At 35.5% G+C, this 23,760-nt stretch overlaps 1 protein-coding gene and 1 long non-coding RNA gene across 12 annotated transcripts in view; one reads left to right on the top strand and one right to left on the bottom strand.

The window, feature by feature from the left end:
• LOC124901421 (uncharacterized) overlaps positions 1-14,396 on the top strand; it is a 32,513-nt gene extending 18,117 nt beyond the window's left edge. Inside the window, exon 3 of the long non-coding RNA XR_007059802.1 lies at positions 5,455-14,396. This is a non-coding gene — a long non-coding RNA (uncharacterized LOC124901421). The remainder of the gene's footprint in view (positions 1-5,454) is intronic.
• STXBP5 (syntaxin binding protein 5) overlaps positions 12,621-23,760 on the bottom strand; it is a 186,057-nt gene continuing 174,917 nt past the window's right edge. For 8 of the 11 annotated variants that reach the window (XM_047418197.1, XM_047418198.1, XM_047418199.1 and 5 more), the window contains 2 exons: positions 20,096-20,316; positions 12,621-18,380 (listed from right to left, as the gene is read on the bottom strand). In XM_047418197.1, coding sequence (XP_047274153.1) covers positions 18,339-18,380; positions 20,096-20,316 — 263 coding nt within the window. In that variant the 3' untranslated portion in view covers positions 12,621-18,338. The remainder of the gene's footprint in view (positions 18,381-20,095; positions 20,317-23,760) is intronic. The other 3 variants (XR_007059202.1, XR_007059203.1, XR_007059201.1) reach the window with 2 other exon arrangements.

The raw sequence follows: 23,760 nt of genomic DNA, 5'->3' as shown, positions 1-23,760 counted from the left end.
GACAGAATGGGAGAAAATATTTGCAAACCACCCAACTGACAAGGGATTAATAACCAGAATATATAAAGAGCTCAAACAATTCTCTAGGAAAAATATCTAATAATCTGATTAAAGCATGGGCAAAATATCTGAATAGGCATTTCTCAAAAGAAGACATACAAACAGCTAATAGGTATATGAAAATATGCTCAACATCACTGATAATCAGATAAATACAAGTAAAAACTACAATAAGATATCATCACACCCCAGTTAAAATGGCTTTTATCCTAAAGACAGGCCATAACAAATGCTGCAAGGATATAGAAAAAAGGGAACCCTCATACCCTGTTGCTGGGAATGTAAATTATTGAAGCCACTATGGAGAACAGTATGAAAGTTCCTAAAAAAAAAAAAAAAAAAAAAACAAAACTAAAAAAGAGCTACCATATGACCCAGCAATTCCACTGCCAGATAAATAACTAAAAGAAAGAAAATCGGTATGTCAAAGAGATATCTGCTCTTCCATATTTATTGCAGTACTATTCACAATAACCAAGATTTGGGAGCAACCTAAATGTCCATTAACAGATGAATGGATAAAGTAAATGTGGTATATATATACAATGGAGTGCTATTCAGCCATAAAAAAGAATGAGATTGTGTCACATGTGACAAAATGGATGGAACTGGACAACATTATGTTAGTGAAATAAGCTGAGGACAGAAAGACAAATTTCACATGTTTTTACTAATTTATGGGGGGTAAATTTTAAAACAATTGAACTCATGGAGACAGACAGTAGAATGATGCTTACCAGAGGCTGGGAAGTTGTATTAGTCCATTCTCACACTGCTACAAAGATACTACCTGAAATTGGGTAATTTATAAACAAAAGAGGTAATATGGTTTGGCAGCATCCCCACCCAAAATCTCATCTTAAACTGTAGTCCCCATAATCCCCATGTGTCACGGTAGAGACCGGGTGAAGGTAATTGGATCATGGGGGCAATTTCCCCCATGCTGTTCTTACGGTAGTGAGTTATCACAAAATCTGATGGTTTCATAAGTGTTTGGTAGTTTCCTCTGCATTCATTCTCCTTCCTGCCACCTAGTGAAGAAGGTGCCTTGCTTCGCCTTGGCCTCCTGCCATAATTTTAAGCTTCATGAGGCCTCCCCAGACATGCAAAACTGTGGGTCAATTAAACCTCTTCCCTTTATAAATTAACCAGTCTCAGTGTGAGAAGTAACTAATATAGTAAATTGGTACCACGGTAGTGGGGCACTGGATAAGGATACCCAAAATGTGGAAGTGACTTTGGAACTGGGTAAAAGGCAGATGTTGACACAGTATTGAGGGCTCAGAAGAAGACAGGAAGATGTGGGAGTTTGGAACTTCCTAGAGACTTGTTGAACGATTTGGACCTAAATACTGATAGTGATATGGACAATGAAGTCCAGGCTGAGGTGATCTCAGATGGAGATAAGGAACTTCTTGGGAACTGGAGCAAAGATGATTCTTGCTGTGCTTTAGGAAAGAGACTGGTGGCATTTTGCCCCTGCGCTAGAGATCTATGGAACTTTGAACTTGAGAGAGATGATTTAGGGTATCTGGCAGAAGAAGTTTCTAAGCAGGAAACCCTTTGAGAAGTGACCTGGGTGATCTTAAAAGCATAAGTTTTATGGATTCACATAGAGATAACTTGGAATCAGAACTTATGTATAACAGGGAAGCAGAGCATAAAAGTTTGAAAAATTTCAGCCTGATGATGTAAAAGTAAAACCCATTTTCTGGGGAGAAATTCAAGCCAGCTCCAGAAATTTTCATCAGTAATGAGGAGCCAAAATGTTAGTCACCAAGACAATGGGGAAACTGTCTCCAGGGCATGTCAGAGATCTTCATAGCAGCCTCTCTCATCACAGGCCCAGAGGCCTAGGAGGAAATAATGGTTTCCTGGGCTGAGCCCAGGGCCTCACTGCTTTGTGCAGTCTTGGAACTTGGTGCCCTGCTCAGGCTGTTGCTTCAGTGGATGCAAGCTCCAAGCCTTGGCAGCTTACATGTGGTGTTGAGCCTGCAGGTGCACAGTGTCAAGAATTGAGGTTTGGGAACCTCTGCCTAGATTTCAGAGGATGTATGGGAATGTCTGGGTATCCAGGCAAATGTCTGCTACAGGGGCAGCAGAACGCCCCAACACAGAGCTCCCACTAGGGCACTGCCTAGTGGAGCTAGAGGGCCACCATCCTCCAGACCCTAGAATGGTAGATCAACAGACAACTTGCACTGTGCACCTGGAAAAGCTGCAGGTACTCAGTGCCAGCCTGTGAAAGCAGCCAGAAAGGAGGATGTGCCCTGTAAAGCAGCAGGGTCAGAGCTGCCCAAGACCACGGGAATCCACCTCTTGCATCAGTGTGCCCTGGGTGTGAGACACGGAGTCAAAGGAGATTATTTTGGAACTTTAAGATTTAATGAATGCCCTGCCTGGGTTTGGACTTGCATGGAGACTGTGGCCCCTTTGTTTTGGCCAATTTATTTCATTTGGAATGGTAGCATTTACCCAATGCCTGTACCCCATTGTATCTTGAAAGTAACTAACTTGCTTTTGATTTTAAAAACTCACAGGTGGAAGGGACTTGCCTTGTCTCAGATAAGACTTTGGACTTGGACCTTTGAGTTAATGCTGGAATGAGTTATGACTTTGAAGGACTGTTGAGAAGATATGATTGGTTTTAAAATGTGAAAAGGACATGAGATTTGGGAAGGGCCAGGGGTGGGATGATATGGTTTGGCTCTGTGTCCCCACCCAAATCTCATCTTGACCTGTAATCCCCATGTGTTGAGGGAGAGACCTGGTATAAGGTGATTGGATCATGCAGCAGTTTCCCGCATGCTGTTCTCATGATAGTGAGTTCTCACGAGATCTGATGACTTAAAATTGGCACTTCCTTCTTCGCTTGCTCTCTCCTCCTGCTGCCATATAAGACATGCCTTGCTTAATCCTTTGCCTTCCATCATGATTCTAAGTTTCCTGAGGCCTCTCCAGCCATGTAGAACTGTGAGTCAATTAAACCTCTTTTGTTTACAAATGACCTAGTCTCAGGTAGTGTATATATATATATTTTTTTGAGATGGAGTCTCTCTCTGTCATCCAGGCTGGAGTGTGGTGGCAAGATACCAGCTCACTGCAACCTTCGCCTCCTGGGTTCAAGCAATTCTCCTGCCTCAGCCTCCTGAGTAGCTGGGATTACAGGCGTCCACCACCATGCCTAGCTAATTTTTGTATTTTTAGCAGAGACAGGGTTTTGCCATGTTGGCTAGGCTGGTCTCGAACTCCTGACCTCAGGTGATTCACCTGCCTCAGCCGCCCAAAGTGCTGGGATTACAGGCATGAGCCGCCATGCCCAGCCTCAGGTAGTATCTTTATAACAGTGTGAAAATGGACTGATACAGAGACTTTTAAAGGTTTTTTTTTAATCAAATGAGAGAATTAAAAATTTATAACTACAAGACCCATTAGAGTTATTAATCTAATCATTTAATTTTATAGATAAAGAAATCAAAACACAGAGGCCAGTTTGCTCTGGGTCACTTATTTGCATAGGAATAGGCTTCTATTTATAAAGCACTTTTACATATATTGTTTACTTTTTTCTCTCAACAGCCCTATATGAGGAATAGGAAACAGCCCATTGTGTTTCCTATTCCAAAAATGAGAAAATTAAGGATCATATATCATTTGTGACTTGCCTAAAACTCTAAGCTTCTAAGTCTTATGCTCTTTTCCCCAACCCTGTTAAACCAGACCAAGTCTCTGGAGATCTGAGTTCATTCAATAACTAATGATCACCTGTGTGCCTGGCCATCTTCTGAGTTTAGGAACACAGCAGAGCACAACGTAGGCAAAACACCTGCTGTCATGGGACTTATGTTCTATTGAAACGGACAGATTAAAAAAATAACAGGGGTATAAAAAAGATAATTGTGATTATGATAAGTGTTTGAAGAAATTGAATAAGTTTCTCTAATAGAAGATGGCCTGATATGGGTGGGGGTGGGGATCAGGTTATTTTAGAATTTAAGTTTAGACACAGAAATCAGAAAAGGCTTCTTTGAGGAGGTGACATTTAAACTGAGACCTGAAAGATGCAAAAGAGCCAGCAGCGTGAAAAGTCAGGAAAGTTCCTGTTGAAAGAGGACAGCAAATGCAAAATTACTGACAAGGGAATGAGGTCAGCATCGTTGAGGAGTGAGGGAATACTGGGATAAGTAGAGGCCAGGTGTGTAGAGTCTTGCAGGCCATGGGAATTTTGGATTTTACTCTAAGCAATTCTAATCTTACCACTGCCACTACGTGCCTCTGTGAACCTAGGCACATTGCTCTCTGGCTTCTTTGACATCAAATTTTCTTTTTTTTTTTTTTTCAAATTGGAAGCTTGGAATTCTATGCTTACATGATTGTAGAGTGATTTTGCTCCTCTTCCTTCTGTTGTAATGATACCTGACCTACATTTTAAGATTTTAGTTTAGTACCAATTATGATAATAAATAAAGGGCTCAATCTTACATGTGCAGACAAAGCATAACTTTGTTAGGAAGCTAACTAGATTTTTAGACACTCAAGATTATGAACAATTTTTCTACTCAGCCAAAGTTACCTTGTATTATGAGCCCCACCCTCATCCCAACCCAACAAACATGAATACGTTTAGTATCTTGCAAATTTTTGTCTTGTTAAAGACAAGGTAGAGCTATTTATTATATATCTTTAACCCAGCACGTAGTACCCAATTCTTATTAGTTTACTCTATTGCAGTTTCTACTTTTCTTTATTTCATAGTTTCAAACCAGGATCCCAGGTCTTTCCTGGTGATACTAGTTCATGGACTAACGAGGAAAAAAAAGACAATGAGAGAAAAAAAGACTAAAACGATTCTCTTTTGGATTTTACTATTGTTGTTTCTCACCTTAAAGCTGAATTTAAATATTCCTCTCTGAGAAATTAAATGATCATGAAACAGAATGAGAACCTGATAGCTTATTTCAAACCATTGTATCACTTGATTTGGCAATGCCTAAGTTCTTGCCTTTGACTCATGTTTTTGACTGTGTCTTCTTAACTATCTGAGGAATCTTATTTAAACAGCATATTAAATATAGATACAGAGTACAGAATATAAAGTGTTACAGATTAATAATAAACTTTCAGATACAGTCAAGCTGTCAAAACTGTCAGAACTATGAAAGCCTTCAAATAGAATATTAGTCTATTCAAAATAAAAGGCAATTTTGTATTTATGGATACGTTCCAAAAGAAACATCAGCAGCTACTGAACATTTAGGACAGAAATACGGATATATTAAATTACAAAACATCTAAAAATATATGTGCGTGTAGGTACATATGATGGTTTATGCATGTGTGTAAATATGTAAAAACATTATCAACCAATATTAACGAACACCTTCTAATTGACAGGTATTATGCCAGATACTGGAGCTAAAAAGATGGACAAACAGCCTTTCTCAAAGAACTCATAAACTGGAGAGGAGATGTATGCAAGAACAACAAGCTAGACCACATTGTGATAAGGACTTATCTAATGGTATGAAGAAGTGGTGTAGCAGAGAGGAGAGAGCAATTAATCCTGGGGCATGGACGGCCTTCAAGAGAAGAAAGTGATATTGCAGCTTGATCATAAAGGGTTATGGGAATTTTTCCAGGCTAAGAAGGAAATGAAGGGTATTCCAGGCATGAACAAAAGCACAGAGAATTGACAGCACATATTGTTTAGGGGAAGAGCAAATTGCGGGAAATTAGCTTAGAATGGGGTATGATACCCAAATAATGAAATATGGAAGGTAGAATGTTAAGGAGACATCTCACCAAATTAAAGCGCTGAACTTCACTAGGGTCACTGGAGGAGCCTTTGAAAAGTTTCAATAGGAAACAGCCTAATTGGAGCTGGGATAGAACACATTGGAGAAGGAGGAGACTGAACAGGGAGACCCATCAGGAGTATCAGTAATTCAGGCTGAAGATGCAGAAACAGCGGCAGGCCCTGAGCAGCAGGGAAAAAAAGGGAAAGTTGAGAGCCACGTGGGAAGTAAAAAGGACCCACTGGCAACTGATTAGATGTGAGTGTGGAGGAAGGGAGAATATGTGCTTAATAAATATTTATGGTGGGATAGTATTTTATGTTTTAAATGATTTATTTCCTCATCCCATATACAAAATACCTTGTTTTTCCTTGCTCGGTTAGCTAGGGCACTTCCTCCTCTTTGTCCTGAAGTTAGAGCTATTGATGAAGAACCAAACAGAAAGAAAAATGTCACTGTCACTGATACAAGTTCCAGAACAGGGTCTCGGTCACTTTTCTATTTCCAATATTTAAAATAGAGTCTGACACGTCCTGGGGTCCAACAAATATTTGTTGAATAAAAAAAAAAGCTGGGAATTGAATTTCAAAAGAGAGTTTTGGAGATTATGGTATAGACAATAGCTTTCAGGCAAAAAGTTTTTGAGTAAATGGCAGCTTGGTTTAAACATCAAGAGCTGAGGTTCTGGCCTAAACCAGAGGCATACAGATAATTGTTATCATGCTATGCAGATGAAAATAATCTCACAGGCTGGGGTAGAGTGTGGACAGGGTTCTGAGCCGGACCCCCAGGGGTTAGCTCTAAGGAGGGGAGAGGAACGATGGAACTCTCTGAAGAATTTGAGGATAAGTGGGAGGACTGAGGCTCTACTTCCCCTTGGAATACACAGGCGGTCCCCACATGAGAGTAGATACCTGGATGGCATGGTTCAGCTGAGGACTGGAGAGAGCTCCCCCAGTGTCTAGTGACCCAGAGGGACACAGAAGAGCATCTTACCTGAGATGCAAGTGAAAGCTTAGATCATTCTTAATACATATCTGGGAGCCAGAGTCTAAGGGGAGAGAAGGATGGAACATTTGACATTTGAAAGTCTTCAGGGAGTACTGGGCAATTAAAAATTCAAAAGGAAAAGGGCTATGAGAAGTGTTTTGGGGGCTTTGAGTTGGGTCCCTTTTAGAATCTTTTGAGAGAGTCAATAAAGAATGGAATTCCTTTATAAGTACTTTTCATCTTTTGTATTCTGCTGCCTGAAACAACAGGACCTAACAATAGGACCTACAAACAGTCCTGACCTAAGACGGAACCATGTGAATCCTAGCTTCAGTAGCGCAGCATTCAAAAGACCTGTGCCTAGGGAAGCACTTGAGAGGAATTTTTAGGTCTTTCCTCCTCTTCATGGTGGTTACTCTTGGAATGCATGTGATTACAAGTAGACAGAGGGAGGGAGTCTTATTTTCTAGTACTCCTAATAACAGTAAACATTCATTGAGTGCTTACTACCAGATCACCAATTCCTAGATAGCCATCTTCATAGTTTTAAATCTTTAAAAAATCAGGATATGTCTTTTAAACACAAATTACCAGTGTTTTTGTTTGTTAGTAGTACCAATAATGGCACATATTACTCTCAGTGGCATCTTAGTTTAATGCAATGCTGTATGCATCAGATACTATCCTGAGCATTTGAGATGTACTATATTAACTTCATAATCATTACCATTTTACAGATAGGAAACTGAGGCGTAGAGAAGTTTCATAGCCTGCTCAAGGCCATGCATATCATGGAGCAGGCAGTTAAAGTCTGGAAAGAGCCCACACTCAAGTTCCTATACTCTGCTGTCTCAGGCTGGAGAGCCCAGGGTGCCCCCACAGGGAGGCTGCTCTGCTGAGTTATGTGACTCACATTCTTACATGGAGTCCATCAAACAATCTCAAAGTTGGCACTGTTTCTATTATTTAATATTTGAAGGAAATAAGTTTTTTTTTTTTTTTTTTTAAAAAAAAAAAGCTTAAGTAACTTAAAGTCACACTATTGGTAAGCAGCATTGGCCTGACTCCAAAGTCTCTTTTTTACCTGCTTAATTAAGTCTTTGAGAGGCAATCTGCTCTATAAAAGAACAGGAAGATAACATTCTAAATTAAGATAATTTTTATATTGAGATATTTTATAAAGAATCTGTGAAAAGTATGTTAACTATGCTATGACTAAACCTCCAAAAGTATTTACTGTCTATACCAGATAGGAAAAAATATGCATATATGAATTTAAATATTGACATGGTTAGGCTTTGTGTCCCCACCCAAATCTCATCTTGAATTGTAATCCTCCTAATCCTCATAGTCCCCAGGTGCCAAGGGAGAGATCAGGTGGAGGTAATTGAATCATGGGGACAGTTTCCCCCATGCTTTTCTCATGATAGTGAGGTGTCACAAGATCTGATGGTTTTATAAAGGGCTCTTCCCCCACATTTCACTCTGCATTTCTCCTTCCTACCACCTTGTGAAGAAAGTGCCTTGCTTCCTCTTCACTTTCCACCATGAGTGTAAGTTTCCTGAGGCCTCCCTAGCCATGCTGAACTTGAGTCAATTAAACTTGTTTCCTTTCTAAATTACCCAGTCTCTGGCAGTTCTTTATAGTATGAAAACAGACAAATATAAATACATTTGTTTTAAAAAACAAATTTCCAGGTACTGGGATTTGGTTACAGTTCTGTTTTGAAAGGTAACCAGAGTAATTTCAGTAAGATCTTGTATCCTGATGATAGCTGGCAATAAACGCATCCTGAGCTGGCTCCCTGGAGTAAACACACAACAAAGAAAAAATTCAGTTGAAACGAAAGGTGCTTATGAAATTCAAAGACATTTTGATCTTCATTCTTTTATTAAAGATAATGTATCAATTTTTATCCTGATTATAGCAGTAATAATACTGATTTGCTGATCCTGATATAAGACTTGCTATTTGTTCTTCCTTATTCAAATATATCTGATTCACAGAGCTTCTAAACGACTAAGATTTTTAAGATCATAAATCTTTGTGTATGCTAATTGTTTTTCTAATGATTTTCAGACGTTATTACATTCCCTACAGTGGCTGAGGTAGGGAAGGCTAGTATTTAGATCACGGTTTTATAAATAACAAAACTCAGGCAAATAGAGGTTAACTTGGAAAAGGTCATTGGTATTGCTGGTAAACTTAGGGACAGAATTCTGGTCTTCACACTCAGACAGACGTGCTTGGCATTTGAAATGAGCTCTATATAAATGCCCACTTTTAATGCACTTAAATACTAGGCAAATGGACTTGTTTAATAATTAACCAATAATCACAGATTGAGTTTTGGTTATCAGAAAAAGTGAAAGTTTCCAATACTAATGTTATATAATAGATGTTTATAATCTGTAAGAATCTATATAATCTTCCTAGAATGAATTCATTGCTCTGTTTGTCAAGATGAGTTTTTGTTAGGAGAAGCATACCATATATTGATTAGTGTGTTTCAGGCACAAATTTATAAAGATAAGTCTTGGCTCTCTAATTCACTCTAGTTCAAAAACAGCTTAAATAAGAAAGTGAATATAAATTTGTAAGAGGAATTAATGCAAACTGCTCTAAAATTCCAAACTAGCATTTAAGTAGTCTATACTTTCATGTATATATTATGGCATAACATTTATAAACATATTCGTGACAGTCCCACTGCATGGGAACAAATTTGAAAAAGGATGGGTCCTATTGCAGGTTCTACTCTCTGGCCCAAGGGTTCAAACGTCAGAGGGTGTGAGGGGCAAAGTGAGGCTACAACGGGAGTGAGGTTAGGAGGGGATACCCCCTTCGGAACGTTTTAGAAATATGTGTGACTTGTCTTTGTTCTTCTTGTGTGTAACCTCAGCATTTGCATATTGAAATACTTTTTTAAAAATTATAAATTGCTTTCATTTCATATCTCTGGCACATTAGTTCAGACACTATGTTGATTTTTAAAAATTGAATGTATAGGCAAGCATATTATCTATAATTTCATTACCAGATAGTAACGGAGACATCTAAACCATGTGATACAGAGAAGACACTGCTTCTAGGGCATTGCTCTACATCAGGGTTCTCAGTAAGTGTGGTTTGCAGACTGGCACCTTCGGCATCAGCTGGGAACTTGTTAAGATACCAATCCTCGGGCCCCACTGCAGGCTTACTGAATCAGAAACTCTGGGGATGTGATCCAGTGATGTGTTTTCACAAAAGTTGTGTATCCAGGAGATTCTGATGTTCAAGTTGGAGAACCACTGCTTAGACTAATGGTATCTGCAGTCACATTGTTATTAAAGGAACATGGAGGTTTTCACTTTCTGAAATGTGTGGTCTTCTAACTTTTGTACTCATGCAATGCTGTAATTTCTGGGCATCTTTGATCTTGAAAGCTAAAACACCTGGCTGGGTGTGGTGGCCCATGCCTGTGATTCCAGCACTCTGGGAAGTCAAGGGAGGAGGATCGCTTGAGCCCAGGGGTTCAAGACCAGACTGGACAAGATAGTGAGAACCTGTCACTACAAAAAAATGAAGATAAAAAACTTAACTGGAAGTGGTGAGGCACATTTGTAGTCCAAACTACTTGGCAGGTTGAGGCAGGAGGATTGCTTGAACCCAGGAGTTCAAGGCTGCAGTGAGCCATGATTGTACCACTGCACTTCTGCCTGTGTGAGAGTGAGACTGTGTCTCAAAAAATAAAAAAGCAAGCTGGATAAACACCCTAGTGAAGCAGCAGTGTGTTCTATCCAAACATACTCCTGCAGTGCTCTTGGGAGTTACAATTCTCAGCCTCAGCACAGTATTTCTTCCATGTACTAATGTGTTTTGCTTTATCTGCTGATATTTTGAGTGTCTGGAGGTAACAAAGAGTAGGGATGGCGTTATTGTATTTACAAACATTATTTACAAATCTACTCAGTATTTAGGAGGGGCCCTGGGAAACAGAGGGATTGCATTATTTCCCTGCTAAATGGGCAAAGAAAAGTAGTTAGCTAAAATAAAACATACTAAAGAGTAAAGAGAATTGGGGTGAGAGGCATGGGGGGCAGGAACAGAAATGAAATGGAAGCAGCAGAGAGAAGTGGAAAGAAAGGTTCAGAGTCGAACTCAGCCCGGGAGAGATGAACAAGGAGGTCTCTTGTTTGGTGGGACACACACACACACACACACACACACACACACACACACACACACTCTCTCTCTCTCTCCTTAATAACTTTAAATGAAGTCCTCAGACTCCCTTCCTTTGCTACTAACAGAATATTCTATTTTGTTGGAACCTTGTTAAATATGTATCTTACTTTCATGCTGTTTTTGAAAAGTTATTAAAAAAAGAAGCTATGGGGTTTTGTTTTTTAAAACAGTATAAAATCATATAAAATGACTAAAACTAAATGTTAGAATATTTCCATAAGTTTAAAGTTAACAGAATATACATTATTGATATTAAAAAGACAGACTGAATTTGAAAAAAATAAAATGACAGGTAAGTATTTTCTTATTTAAAAGATGTTTTAGTCTAAAAAAAGCATTTTGAAAGCTTTCCTTAAGGTACCTAGGACAAAACACTTTTGTACAAAAACTGAAAAAAGCATAAAAATGGGGCAAACATACAATTTTTAAACTAATGGAAGAAAATCAGAATCTTCCTGTAAACTCCTAGAAAATCAGAATCTTCCTGTAAATTCCTATGAAGGGTTACAATGACAACTTAAATTTTTATCTAAAGCAGTGGATAGCACTGTACTATTTACACAGCACATACCCAATATAATGTTCTTTAAAAAGGCATGACCGGAGACATGAAGACAATCTTCAGTTTTTAAAATTTTATCACTTTATGCCTCTATTTCCTAGAAAGACACTGAAAAATTTTTTGATAATAAACCAGATCACTCTACCAAATGATTTACATAACTTTATAATACCTTAGGAACATATTATCTGTTCCATATCTAAGAGTGTTTAGTAACTTTCTGGATAAAAAAGTATCATGAAAATTATCCTTTGGAAAGTCTATGTTTTTTTCCCATGTAAAATTGTACTGCAACGCTTCTTGCTAAAGGCTCACACAGTGAGACGAGACTGCCACCATGTGGGATAAGCATGTGTCACAATAAAAAATATATATATTTCAAAATCAAATAATCCTTCAATGTAATAAGAGAACTACTACGTCTTTTATTCTAAAACACAACAGAAACAGTGGTAAGTACTGTTTGGTCTTCTTTACATTTTTCAAGATTCATTAATGTGATACTCATTTTTCGTACAAGTAGTTGGACACTGACACTCTGTGGAAACTATCCATATCCTTGCTACTCAAAGTATGTTCCAAGACCAGCAGCATCTATATTAGCTTGAAGCTTGTTAGAGATGCAAAATCAGGCCACACCTCAAATGCAATGAATCAGAATCTGTATTTTAATATGATCCTCAGGTGATTCGCGTACACACTAAAGGCCAAGAAGCATGCACTCAGATTTCATTCCTATTCCTTAACTCTCACCCTGTCTCCTTTACTCTCAATCCACCCAACACAGGGGTAGGTGTTTTTCACCAAAAACTCCAGATAGTCAAGAAAAATATAGTTGGTATTACCTGAGTTATATGATTAGCTTCACTTTCAGTAAATGTGGGAATCTATTTTTTTAATCAATTATTTTCTTAGGTTATTAATAGATTAATTCCATAATTCAGAAAAAAATTAGAACAAATTTTCCAGGAAAAAGGGCTTGTTTAGTTTCAGGAGAGATTAGAGTATTTTATTTTGCCCAATCAGAGCCCTTCAGCATAAAGAGACATTCATATACATATATATGAACATTTTCCAGAAACATTAATTAATTTATAATACATTTTTTAAAATACCAGCTTAACGGTATTTATTTACAAAAATATTTCATTACCTAATTTTAAACTTTTTGCTGTGATGACAGTTTGTAAAGTACAGGAATGCAAAATAACTACAAAGTTTAACACGTTTTTAGTGTTTCCAATAGTGCTTTTCTTTTTAGATGAAACAATACACAGATTTTTTTTAAACCGTATTTCAAAATGCATATTCCAGCAATTACCTTTGAGATAGTTACTGGGACTGAGCAAGATTAAATAAAAAGTGCAGCAACTGAAAAACACCTGCAAGTTACAGTTTAAGGTATACACAAGCTAGAGCTCTATACCAAGCATGCTTGCCCCTGAAGTGGACAATGTTAGAAAAACTTAATCTTGCTCTTTTTCATATTGTCTTTTGGTAATGCATTTACAATGAACCAATAGTATAACTAGAAAGCAAAAGTGTTTTTCTGGTTCTAACTATCATGTGGAATAGAGGTCACACCTAAAGTATCACAGTACTATTTATTTACAAAAAAAAAAAGTTAAAAAAATTAAAACAAGATTTACCCTCTTTGCATTGCTTTCCATTGCTATGTTGATTGTATTTTCAACTCCTTACACTGTCTTCAGTTGAAGCAAAGTTTAGACAATACAAAACAAATAGCAAAAGTAAATAAACAAAAACAAACAAAACCAACTACCAAATAAATAGGATTCCATTGCCATTAACCTATATCCATTTGAAATGCCTGAATCAAACAACCTACAATAAATACTGGTTTATTTACATGTCATACACTATAAAATTTTAAACGATAAGCCTCATTGTAAAATACTGGCAAAACTGACATTCATGATTTTTCTGATGTAAAGAATAAAATAAAGAGACCACTTACATGTAGCCCTGGACTACTGTACTGAATTTGTAAATGAATTGTGCCTATATTGTTAAAATTAATTTGACTGTATTAATAACTGAAGAAAGCAATGTTATAACCCTGGTAATTGGGAAGTTATTAAAATCATTTAATTCATCTGAGAAAGGTAAGCCAGTTTTCCCTTTTTTTCTTTTTTTGGTTGTTTTTGGTTGCAACAACTGTTTTCTGTCTACAGAACCTTTTTTAAAACTTCGGAGGCAGTAGTAAAATCATTAATATTCACAGGAAAAATAATTCCCATAGCACTTTACAAGAAATTGATCAGAGTGATGAAAAGTGCAATTAACAAAAGCTGTAAACAGTATCTTCACATTCATTTTCAAATGAAAAGAAAAATCTGTGGGCATAAATTTCAATCCAAGAGAACAAATACCCTAAAAGGGAAAAGAAAAAAGAAGGACATTTAAGATATAGGAGTGCTTTTTTCCCCCCAAAGTAAATACAGATTAAAAAGTCTAAGAATGTTGATCAAGTATCAAACTGATAAGGAACAAATTCTATAAACTACAAAATAAAAACCTTCATTGACAAAAATACATAAACTCTGTTTTCATTTTTGGAAATTTATTTTTAAAAAAGGTAGAAGAAAATACCTGGAAAACTATTTTAAATATATATATATATATCTATATTTTAAAACAATAGTTAAGGTAGGCATCCAACAGCAAACTGAAGCTATTGAGAAAGATCTTGCAATTATTGTTGTGGGCATTTTCCCCCAAAATAAAATTAATATTTGAAAATGCTCAATAGAGGGTTTTTTAAAGCATAGAAATGATATCTTTCCTGTTCATGTGTGAAGATTTTTAAATGATGTATGATTTTTTAAAATTAATTGTATCTCGATATGAGATACCAGTATTTCTTATTATAAGCGTAAAACATAACTTTTTGTATGGATAATATACATACTTTTTAAGTACTTTGACTTAAACTTAACAAGTTCACCATTTTAAAATTAAAGTACATTTATAAAAATTCCATTTTAAAACTAAAAGTATATTTTCTAGCAGTATGTATAAATATAACATGTTACTGTATGATCTTAAAACAAATCTGAAAGTGTTGCAATAATTTAAGACCAAGAACACTGAAACATACAGCAGATTATTTTACTATTTTTTAAATCTATATAAAACCCTATTAAAGGTTTTAAAACTGATCAGTTTATTTAAGGTACAGCTAGCAGCATATTCATGATTTTGGTATGTTTTATACACATGTATCACTTGGTTTAAACTGAGCAATGTGGATTAAATGATAATAAAAAGTTTTCATTACCTAAAAAAGTGCAGAAAAAATTCAAGTTTAAAGTTCAGTGCTCTTTATTTTGCTGAAACAAATAAAATCCCAAAAGTTAAAGTGTAAAATAAATCTTTGCCACAAAAAATTTACCTTTGGATATAGCTTTTCTAATGTCACATGAGAAATGCCTTAAGCAAAACATACATGGAAGATAGAACTCAGGGTAAAACTTTGAACTCCGTGGTGTCTTCCACATATTCTTCCTTTCCTCAGCTGTCTCCCCAGCACCCCTGTAACCTAAAAGTATGTAACACTTTCAGACTTGTTTAAAACACTCACATATCTACATGAAATCGCTTCAGAGGAACCTACAATTAAGAAGTTCTAAGCCAAAAAAAAAAAAATTGCTTCGTTCTTTAAACTATTGTACTTAATTAAATTGTAATATACTTACACATAATAACATAGACAAGTAGCAGCATTTTTCACATCCATAAAAAATCAAATGGAGAAGTTAGTAATAGCTCAGTCGAATCTATAACCATTTTTTTGGAAACACTTTGTACAATTGAAATGCAAAGCAAAAGTGTTAAGATGATGCAAAACTTCAAATGGATGTAATGTACAGAATTTGTCAGAATATAAGATTTCAAATAACTTTCTCAGCAAATACATATGGATTTTAGTTTGAAAACTGAAATGAACTGGATATATGGTACATACAGAAAAACCACTTCCTACTTACAAACTACTAATCATGAATACTTCAGTGATTTTAGAGTCAAGGACAAATGCAACAAAAACAATGAGGATATGGAGAGGGCACACAAAAATCTTTCATTTTTCTGATATTTTCTATTTTGACTTTTTTTTTTAGTCAGTTTTCCTGAAATCGTGGCTTGCTGGTGACTATTACTTTCTGTATTTAAAAAGAAAAAAATAGAGATGTTACCTCTCAAATTACAGTAAATTCCCTGGGTTAGTTATTACTGTAGACTGTCTCTTATCTACAGACAGAATCAAGTATAACTCTGAGAAGCTTATTTCCTACACTCAAACATACTTTAAGCTTTCTAATCCTAACTGAGTCTCTAGTTTGTTGTGCATAATTTGTAGATTAATTTAAAAATTAAATAACTCAAAACACTGATTTAAGATTTTCTTACAAAATCTTGGAAATCCATCTAATGTATATACTTCTATATTTGAAAATAATTACAAGATTAGTTCATTTTGTATACAACAGGAAAAATGACAGTAAAAATGAAGTTAATATACAAATATATTTGTGTTATATAACACAAAATAACACAGCAAATTAAATAATTGCAGCTAATATGACCTTCCACATAGATAGGGAACCAACCAGTATATTAATCTACATAATGCTTTCCCAACTTCTTCAAATCCATAACTGTTGATTTTATTGATGACATTCACAAAACTGTACCTTTAAAATAGGACCTAACAATTCCTGTGACATATCATGGAACTATGGGTTTACTGGATAATAGATAACACAAATTAAGCAATTTATAAACTGCTGAATGTTCAGGCAGCTGACATTAACGAAACAGAAATATGTTATTCATTGGTGCTTTCTATAAATTCAAAAACTTTTGAAAAGGGCTTATTTAAAAAATATTTCTTTTGGCTTGATCAATTATCTCTATCACACACATTTAGTCCCTACCAAATGATATTTAAAGTAAACTTTGATGTAAACTTTTGCATCTAGTAGTGCATGTTATAAAATGTAAACATAAAAGCTTTATTAATGAAAAGTAGAGGAAAATATGCATAACAGACTGTATGAAAAAGTTAAGATGTCCTACATATTCCTTTAATGATCATATAGAATAGAAAAACAACCATCCTGTTTACTATCAATTTGTGCTCTGATTATCTCTTAATGAAAAAACAAAATCATTTAAAGGAATTTTTTATAGAAGACAATATTTAAATTTCATTAACATTAATTTTAATGCTTCCATTTTGCTTTTGCTGGGTTGCTTTAACAACAATCAATAATAATCTCAGATTAGTCTGTATTCTGAGATTGCTTACTTCTAGATCTACTAGGTGGTTTCTTTCCTGCCCGTAATGCTATTCTATGAAACAATCATTCATTGTCCATTGCTGGTCTCAAATTGTATTATATTCCAATACAGAAATAATTTAGTTATCACAGTGTACATATTTTCCTTTCTTTTTGGTTTTTTAAAACCTTGAAAGGATATGTACAGATTTATAGTATATTTCTACACAAAATATTTTGTAGGTCATCAGACTAAACTCTTATATAATTATTGACAACAGATGCTTGTAATTTTCCATGCGATAGCATGTGCACTAACATTTAATTGGCTCATCACCTGAGTGTATTGGAACAGTTAGCAAATAAAGGGCATTTTGAAAAGGGAGCTGAGCATTTTACTGAAATAATGAAAGTTTTTTTTTAAGCAATTTTAATTAAAGAATGCAAAGGTACATTTGGTTAAACATTTTATAAAAATTCAAGCAAAATTTAAAACACAGCCAATTTCAACATTTCTACAAATTTAACCAGCATTATTTTGGTCAAATCCACCTTTAGCTGAATTAATGAGAACAAGGACAAGGGACATTGAAGTATTCTCCTCACCACAATGGAGGTTTTTCTCACTTTCCACACTGCATAGCCACTACATGGAAACTCCCAGAATGATGAGCAATTCAGTCATGCTCTACACTTTTCTTTTCAATGAAAAGTGATGTATCTTCTTGTTTTGCTTTTGACAAAATATGAACTAAATACAAGTCTATAATAACAAGAATCCAAGAGTAGCTCATACACAAGTCAACTATGTGTATGTTTTTATTATTTAAAGCCCACCATTCAGCTTATCTGTCTAAAGAGATGATAACAAACAATTTGTTTCTTTTTCACTAATGATACTGATGACCAGTCAGTGTTAAGAGAGGGAAAGTCCAAGACAGCTGTTTATAATCCAGTCCAATGACACACATATAACTATTTCAACTTCAAGACTTCTGACTTATTGCCTCTGCCCTAAACAGGTCAAACACTGATGGCAGATAAAACGGCACAAACCCTTTTGGCATATGAAAGTTTAATACAGGAATGATCCAGGATTAGTCCCTGCACCAGGTCTCCTCAGCAGCCCCCTTGGTTTCTTCATCTGTCACGTGTGACCTGTTTAATTCCCAAATGGTCAACTCATAACTGGCACACACCATATACTCCATTTCGAGTGCGTGTGAACACTCCTCAGTTAAAGCCACATGACTGAGGTAAAACAGTGCATGACTGTGCTAGGAAAGAACAGTATTCAGTGACGAACATCCCTTTAACGTTAACTTTCCTAAAGAATGTAATAAAAATGGAAAACTTTTTTCCTTCTGGCTGAAGTTGGACTTATTGGATTCTGGTTGTCAGAACTGGTACCACTTCTTATCTTTGTATTTCAACATAATCTAAAGGGGGAAAAAAAAGAAAAACATGCTTTTAAAATGCCGGAACAATAACATTTATAAGTGATTTCTATATTTTTCCAAAACATTATGTCATTCTGCAATATTCTGTAGTGCTACTATATGCTTACTTCAACTTATTAAAAGCAGTAAGAACTATTCTATTTGGAGGAAAAAATACGATATCCATTAAGAACTAGCCTAGAAGTTCCACAGATTTCTTAGAAATGTGACATAATTTGGTGACCTAAGCTAGTAATATAAAAGTAAGATAATTTTTATTTTGTACTATGAATTAAAAATAATGCTTGAAGAACTGGCGAATTAAAGGTTGAAAATGCTACTCCTCCTGCCATCTCAAATTTACTGAGCATCTATTCTGAGCCAGACACTGCATGACACACTTTTCCTACTTGATTTCAGTCATAACCATTCTTGGGCTAGGCACTGTTTTTCTCCCCATTTAATAAATGAAACTGAAGCTTCTAGGGGTTGCCCAAGGTAATGCAGTAGTGAAACTGGAATTTGTGCCCATGCAGTCTAATTCAAGAACCTGTGATTGTAACTACCTCAATGTACTGTCTTCCTTAGACTCTGAAATATGGCTCAAGAACAACTGGTAGAAGGGAAAGTTAACAGTGTGAGATTAAATATTTCCTAAATATTCAGAGTGTGAATATATTCCGAAATTGACTGAAATGCTACATGCTGTAGAGATCATACAATCGGGTGTAGGGTTATGACAACAAAAATCCTGACCTAGATTGACCACCACAAGCCTGTATCTGAGGTGCCTGGGTATAGTACAAGTAATCATAAAGGATCTCTGAACCTCTCTGAAGCCCTAGACAAGTATCTTCCAGGTCAAGTTACCTCTTCATGCATTCTAGATTTCCGCATTTTTGAGCAAGGAGGAAATGACTTTTGGTTGAAAAATTTAAAAAAGAGCTACCACTACAGATTGGGTGCTCAAATATAAAAACAACCTTAAAATTGTTTCTTCAGACAAATTCAAAATGTCCTCCAGGGCCAGCCTAGGAACTAGATGTGTGAAGTAACCTAGTGTAAAGCACCAAGGAAAGGCAGGCCTGTGTGTCAAAATGAAAAATGTGTTATTTCCCGTAAAGGCTTTTAAATTCAGCTTTTTAAGAGCACGATGTGGTGTAAGGGGGCCAGTCAGGGATCCCTACTTTACAGCGTGTGTTTCTGAGCTCTATCATGACTTCCTAGGTCCACCATTGCAAAATGCATCTCTCTACTCCTCCATATGAATTGGTCCACAACGCGGACTTAGTATTGTTTATTTAAATAAAAAGGTTTGTCAATTTTAGTTATTTATATCTATCTGGAAGACTCAAGGAGGCAAATTATTTCTTTTTCTAGGACAAAGTGGTAGTAGACTCTGAGGCATTAAGAAAAATTAACATTGGTATCGCATTCCTTAAGAAACAGTTGCAAAGCTGGTAGCTTTGCTTACCAAAAGCCTGAAGGTGGGCAGATTCCTTCAAAATTTATAATCTTATAGTAAGAAACCAAAGGCTATTAGAGATACATTCCTGTAATGGTTCCCTCTGGTGGCAAAAATCAGGAACTTGCAATTGTACAATGAATATATGCAAATTCATGGGTGTAGAAATACAATAGCTATAAAAATAAAGTAACATTCACACTTGCTTTACCTAGAGCTTTTTGTTCAAATATCTGTTTGAGAGTCGTACCTCATGAGCATGTTTAGAAAATGACTCTGCACTTGATAACATGGCCGCAGTTCTTTCTTCCAGATCGCCAAGTTTCTGCCCTCTTTCATCTAGTGCCAGCCTGGCTCGTGCTAATTCACCAACAACTCCAGATGCTGCCCCTTTTACGCCTTCAATGCCACCAGGGCCAGGAATATGCTGTGCAAGGCTCCTTGAAGCCTTTCCTGAGGACGATTCTCCAACTGAACACATTTGATAAATCAAAGAGTAACTCAAAACATGAACATTTTACTAATATAAAATCCTACTACATTAAAATACAATTTTTGGATTGAGTGGTAATACAACTGAAATAAAATTATAAAGTGAAATATGCTTAATACATGCTTTCTTTTGTTATGATTGGTTTAATAATTTTTAGATACTTTTTCAAACATGCAAAAACACAATGTACATTAAATATTCTATACTAGTTCATACAACAAGACATACTAAAAAGGAGCTGGTAAATATTTAATGAAACAAATAAAGGTATATTGTTACCAATTACATAATGGCAAAAACTGCTCTTTTGTGCAAAAAACGAAAGATATTTAGCTTCGAATATACAGATTTAAATTTAAATATACAGATTTGATTATGTTTACTTACTCCACACTTCCTCTTACTTAAAAATATACTGTGCTTAGGCTCAGAAGTAAAGATAAATGAAGAATTTTATTCAGTAGTCTATTTCGGTCTCCAAAAATTGTAGGCATGCTATATTCTTTTCTTTTTCTCCATTTATCTTGTCATTTACCAAATGGATCACATTTTTCCATCAAAAGACCTTGCGATTCACTGTTTTCTTTCCCTTTGCTATCCAGATGCTTTTTACCTAACACTTAGATCACTGCAAAAGTCTTAAATTCTTTAAAGGCTGATCTCAAGTTTCCTGGTTCCTCAGCTTACATTTCTTTCTTTCCTTTTTCTTTAAATATAACTCGTATACCACAACATTTGCTCCTTTAAAGTGAATACATTGGTGATTTTTACTTTATTCGTAAGGATGTGAATCACCACCACTACTAATGAATACCAGAGCATCTCATCACTGCAAAAGAAGCTCCATGCCTGTTAGCAGTCACTTTCCATTCCCACTCTTTGCAGTTCTTGGCAATCACTAATCTACTCTCTGTTTCCATAAATTTGCCTATTCTGAGTATTTCATTTAAATGGATTCATACAATAGGTGGCCTTTTGTAGCTGGCTTCTTTCACTGAGAGTAACGTCAAAGGTTATTGATGTTGTAGCATGCATCAGTACTTCATCCCTTATTATGGATGAATAACGTGTCATTTTATGGATAAGGTGTTATTTTGCTTATTCATTCATCAGCTGATGGACATCTGGGTTGTTTCCACTTTTTGGCTATTATGAATAAAGCTACTATGAACATTTATACAAATGTTTGGGTAAATGCATGTTTTCAATTTTCTTGGGTATATGCCTAGGCATAGAATAGCTGGGTGATGTGATAACTGTATGTTTAATTTTTTGAGGAACCATCAGTTTTCCAAAGAGGGTGCACCCATTTTACATTTCAACCAGTAATATATATGAGGGTTCCAATATCTCCACATCCTTGCCAACATTTGTTATTGTGAATCTTTTTGATGACATCCATCCTAGTAAGTTTGAAGTGGTATCACATTGTGGATTTGACTTGCATTTCCCTAATGACAAATGATGTTGAAGATCTTTTCATGCACTCATTTGTCATTTGCATATTTTCTTTGGATAAATATCTATTGAGGTTGATATGGTTCGGCTGTGTCCCCACCCAAATCTCATCTTGAATTGTAGCTCCCATAATCCTCCAGTGTCATGGAAAAGACCCAGTGGGAGGTAACTGAATCATGGGGGCAGGGTTTCCTGTGCTGTTCTCATGAGAGTAAGTCTCACAAGATCAGATCTGATGCTTTTATAAAGGGCAGTTCCCCTGCACATGCTCTCTTGCCTGCTGCCATGTAAGATGTGCTTTTGCTCCTCCTTGGTCTTCCGCCATGATTGTGAGGTCTCGCCAGCCATATCCAACTGTGAGTTCATTAAATGTCTTTTTCTTTATAAATTACCCAGTCTTGGGTATGTCTTTATTAGCAGCATGAGAATAGACTAATACACAGATCCACCTAAAAATCAGTCTATTTGTCTTCTATTATTGAGTTTTTAAGAGTTCTTAATATATTCTGGACACTAGACGTAATCTGATATCAGATATGTGATTTGCAAATATTTCATCCCATTCTTTGGATCATCTTTTCACTTTCTCGTTAGTATTCTTTGAAGCACAATGTTTTAAATTTTGATAAATTCCAATCAATCTTTTTTTTTTCCTTTGGTTGCTTGTGATTTAGGTGTCATATCTTAGAAACCACTGCCTAATCCAAGGTTACACAAATTTATACCTGTTTTCTTCTAAGAGTGTTACAGTTTTAGCTCTTATATTGAGGTCTTTGAGCCATTTTGAATTAATTTTTGTGTGTGGTGTGAAGCTGGGGCCCAACATCTTTTTTTTTTTTTTTTTGCAGATGAATATCTAGTTATTCCAACATCACTTATTGAAAAGACCATTCTTTGGCCACGTAATTTTCTTGGCGTCCTTGTAAAAAAAAACAATTGACCATAAATGTATAAGCTTATTTCTGGAGTCTCAACTCTATTTATGTATCTTTATGCCAGTACCACACTGTCTTGATGACTATAGCTTTGTAGTAAGTTTTGAAACTGAAATGTTTGAGTCCCTCCAGCTTTTTTCTTTTTCAATATTTGTGTGTGTGTGTGTGTGTGTGTGTGTGTGTGTGTGTACGTGGCTATTTTGAATTCTTTGTATTTTCATTTGAATTTTAAGAACAGCTTACTGCTTTCTGAAAAAAAATTGTTGTGATTTTGATATGAATTGTGTTAAATGTGTAGATCAATTTGTGGATACTGCCACTTAACAATGTTAAATCTTCTAATCCATGAACATGAGATGTGGGTCAACTGACTTACATCTTAGTTTCTTAAAATGATATTTTGAAGTTTTTATTGTACATGTCTTATACTTCTTTGGTTAAATTATGTCTAAGTGGCTTATTTTTTGATACTGCTATAAATGAAACTTTTCTTAATTTCATTTTTGAATTATTCATTGCCTGTGTATAGAAATGCAATTCATTTTCTATATTGATCTTGTATCCTGAAACCTTGCTAAAACTGTTTATTAGCTATAATTAGTTTTATGTGGATTCCTTAGGATTTTCTATAGATAAGATTACATCTGCAAATAGAGACAGTTTTACTTCTTCCATTCCAATTTGCATGCCTTTTACTTGCTTTTCTTGCCTAATTTCCCTGGCTAGAGCCTCCATTCCTATGTAAAATAGAAGTGGTAAGAGCTCTTTGAATATGCATATAAAATTTAGAATTAGCTATACATTTTTGGAAGGATTTTTATTAGAACTATATTAAGTGTATATGTGTATATATACATACAGACATCAGTTTTGAGAGAACTGGTATCTTTTATTGAATCTTCTATACCATGTTCATGGATTATACTCATCAATTTGTTTGAATCTTCTTTAACTTCTCTCAACAAATTTTTCTAATTTTCTACTTTCCCCATGGAGATTCTGAACATGTTCTCTTAAGATTTATTTCTA

This window comes from Homo sapiens, chromosome 6, assembly GCF_000001405.40.
Source record: "Homo sapiens chromosome 6, GRCh38.p14 Primary Assembly".
Taxonomy (NCBI): domain Eukaryota; kingdom Metazoa; phylum Chordata; class Mammalia; order Primates; family Hominidae; genus Homo; species Homo sapiens.
Note: the sequence above shows the minus strand (reverse complement) of the source record. Positions and strands in the feature narration are given on the sequence as shown.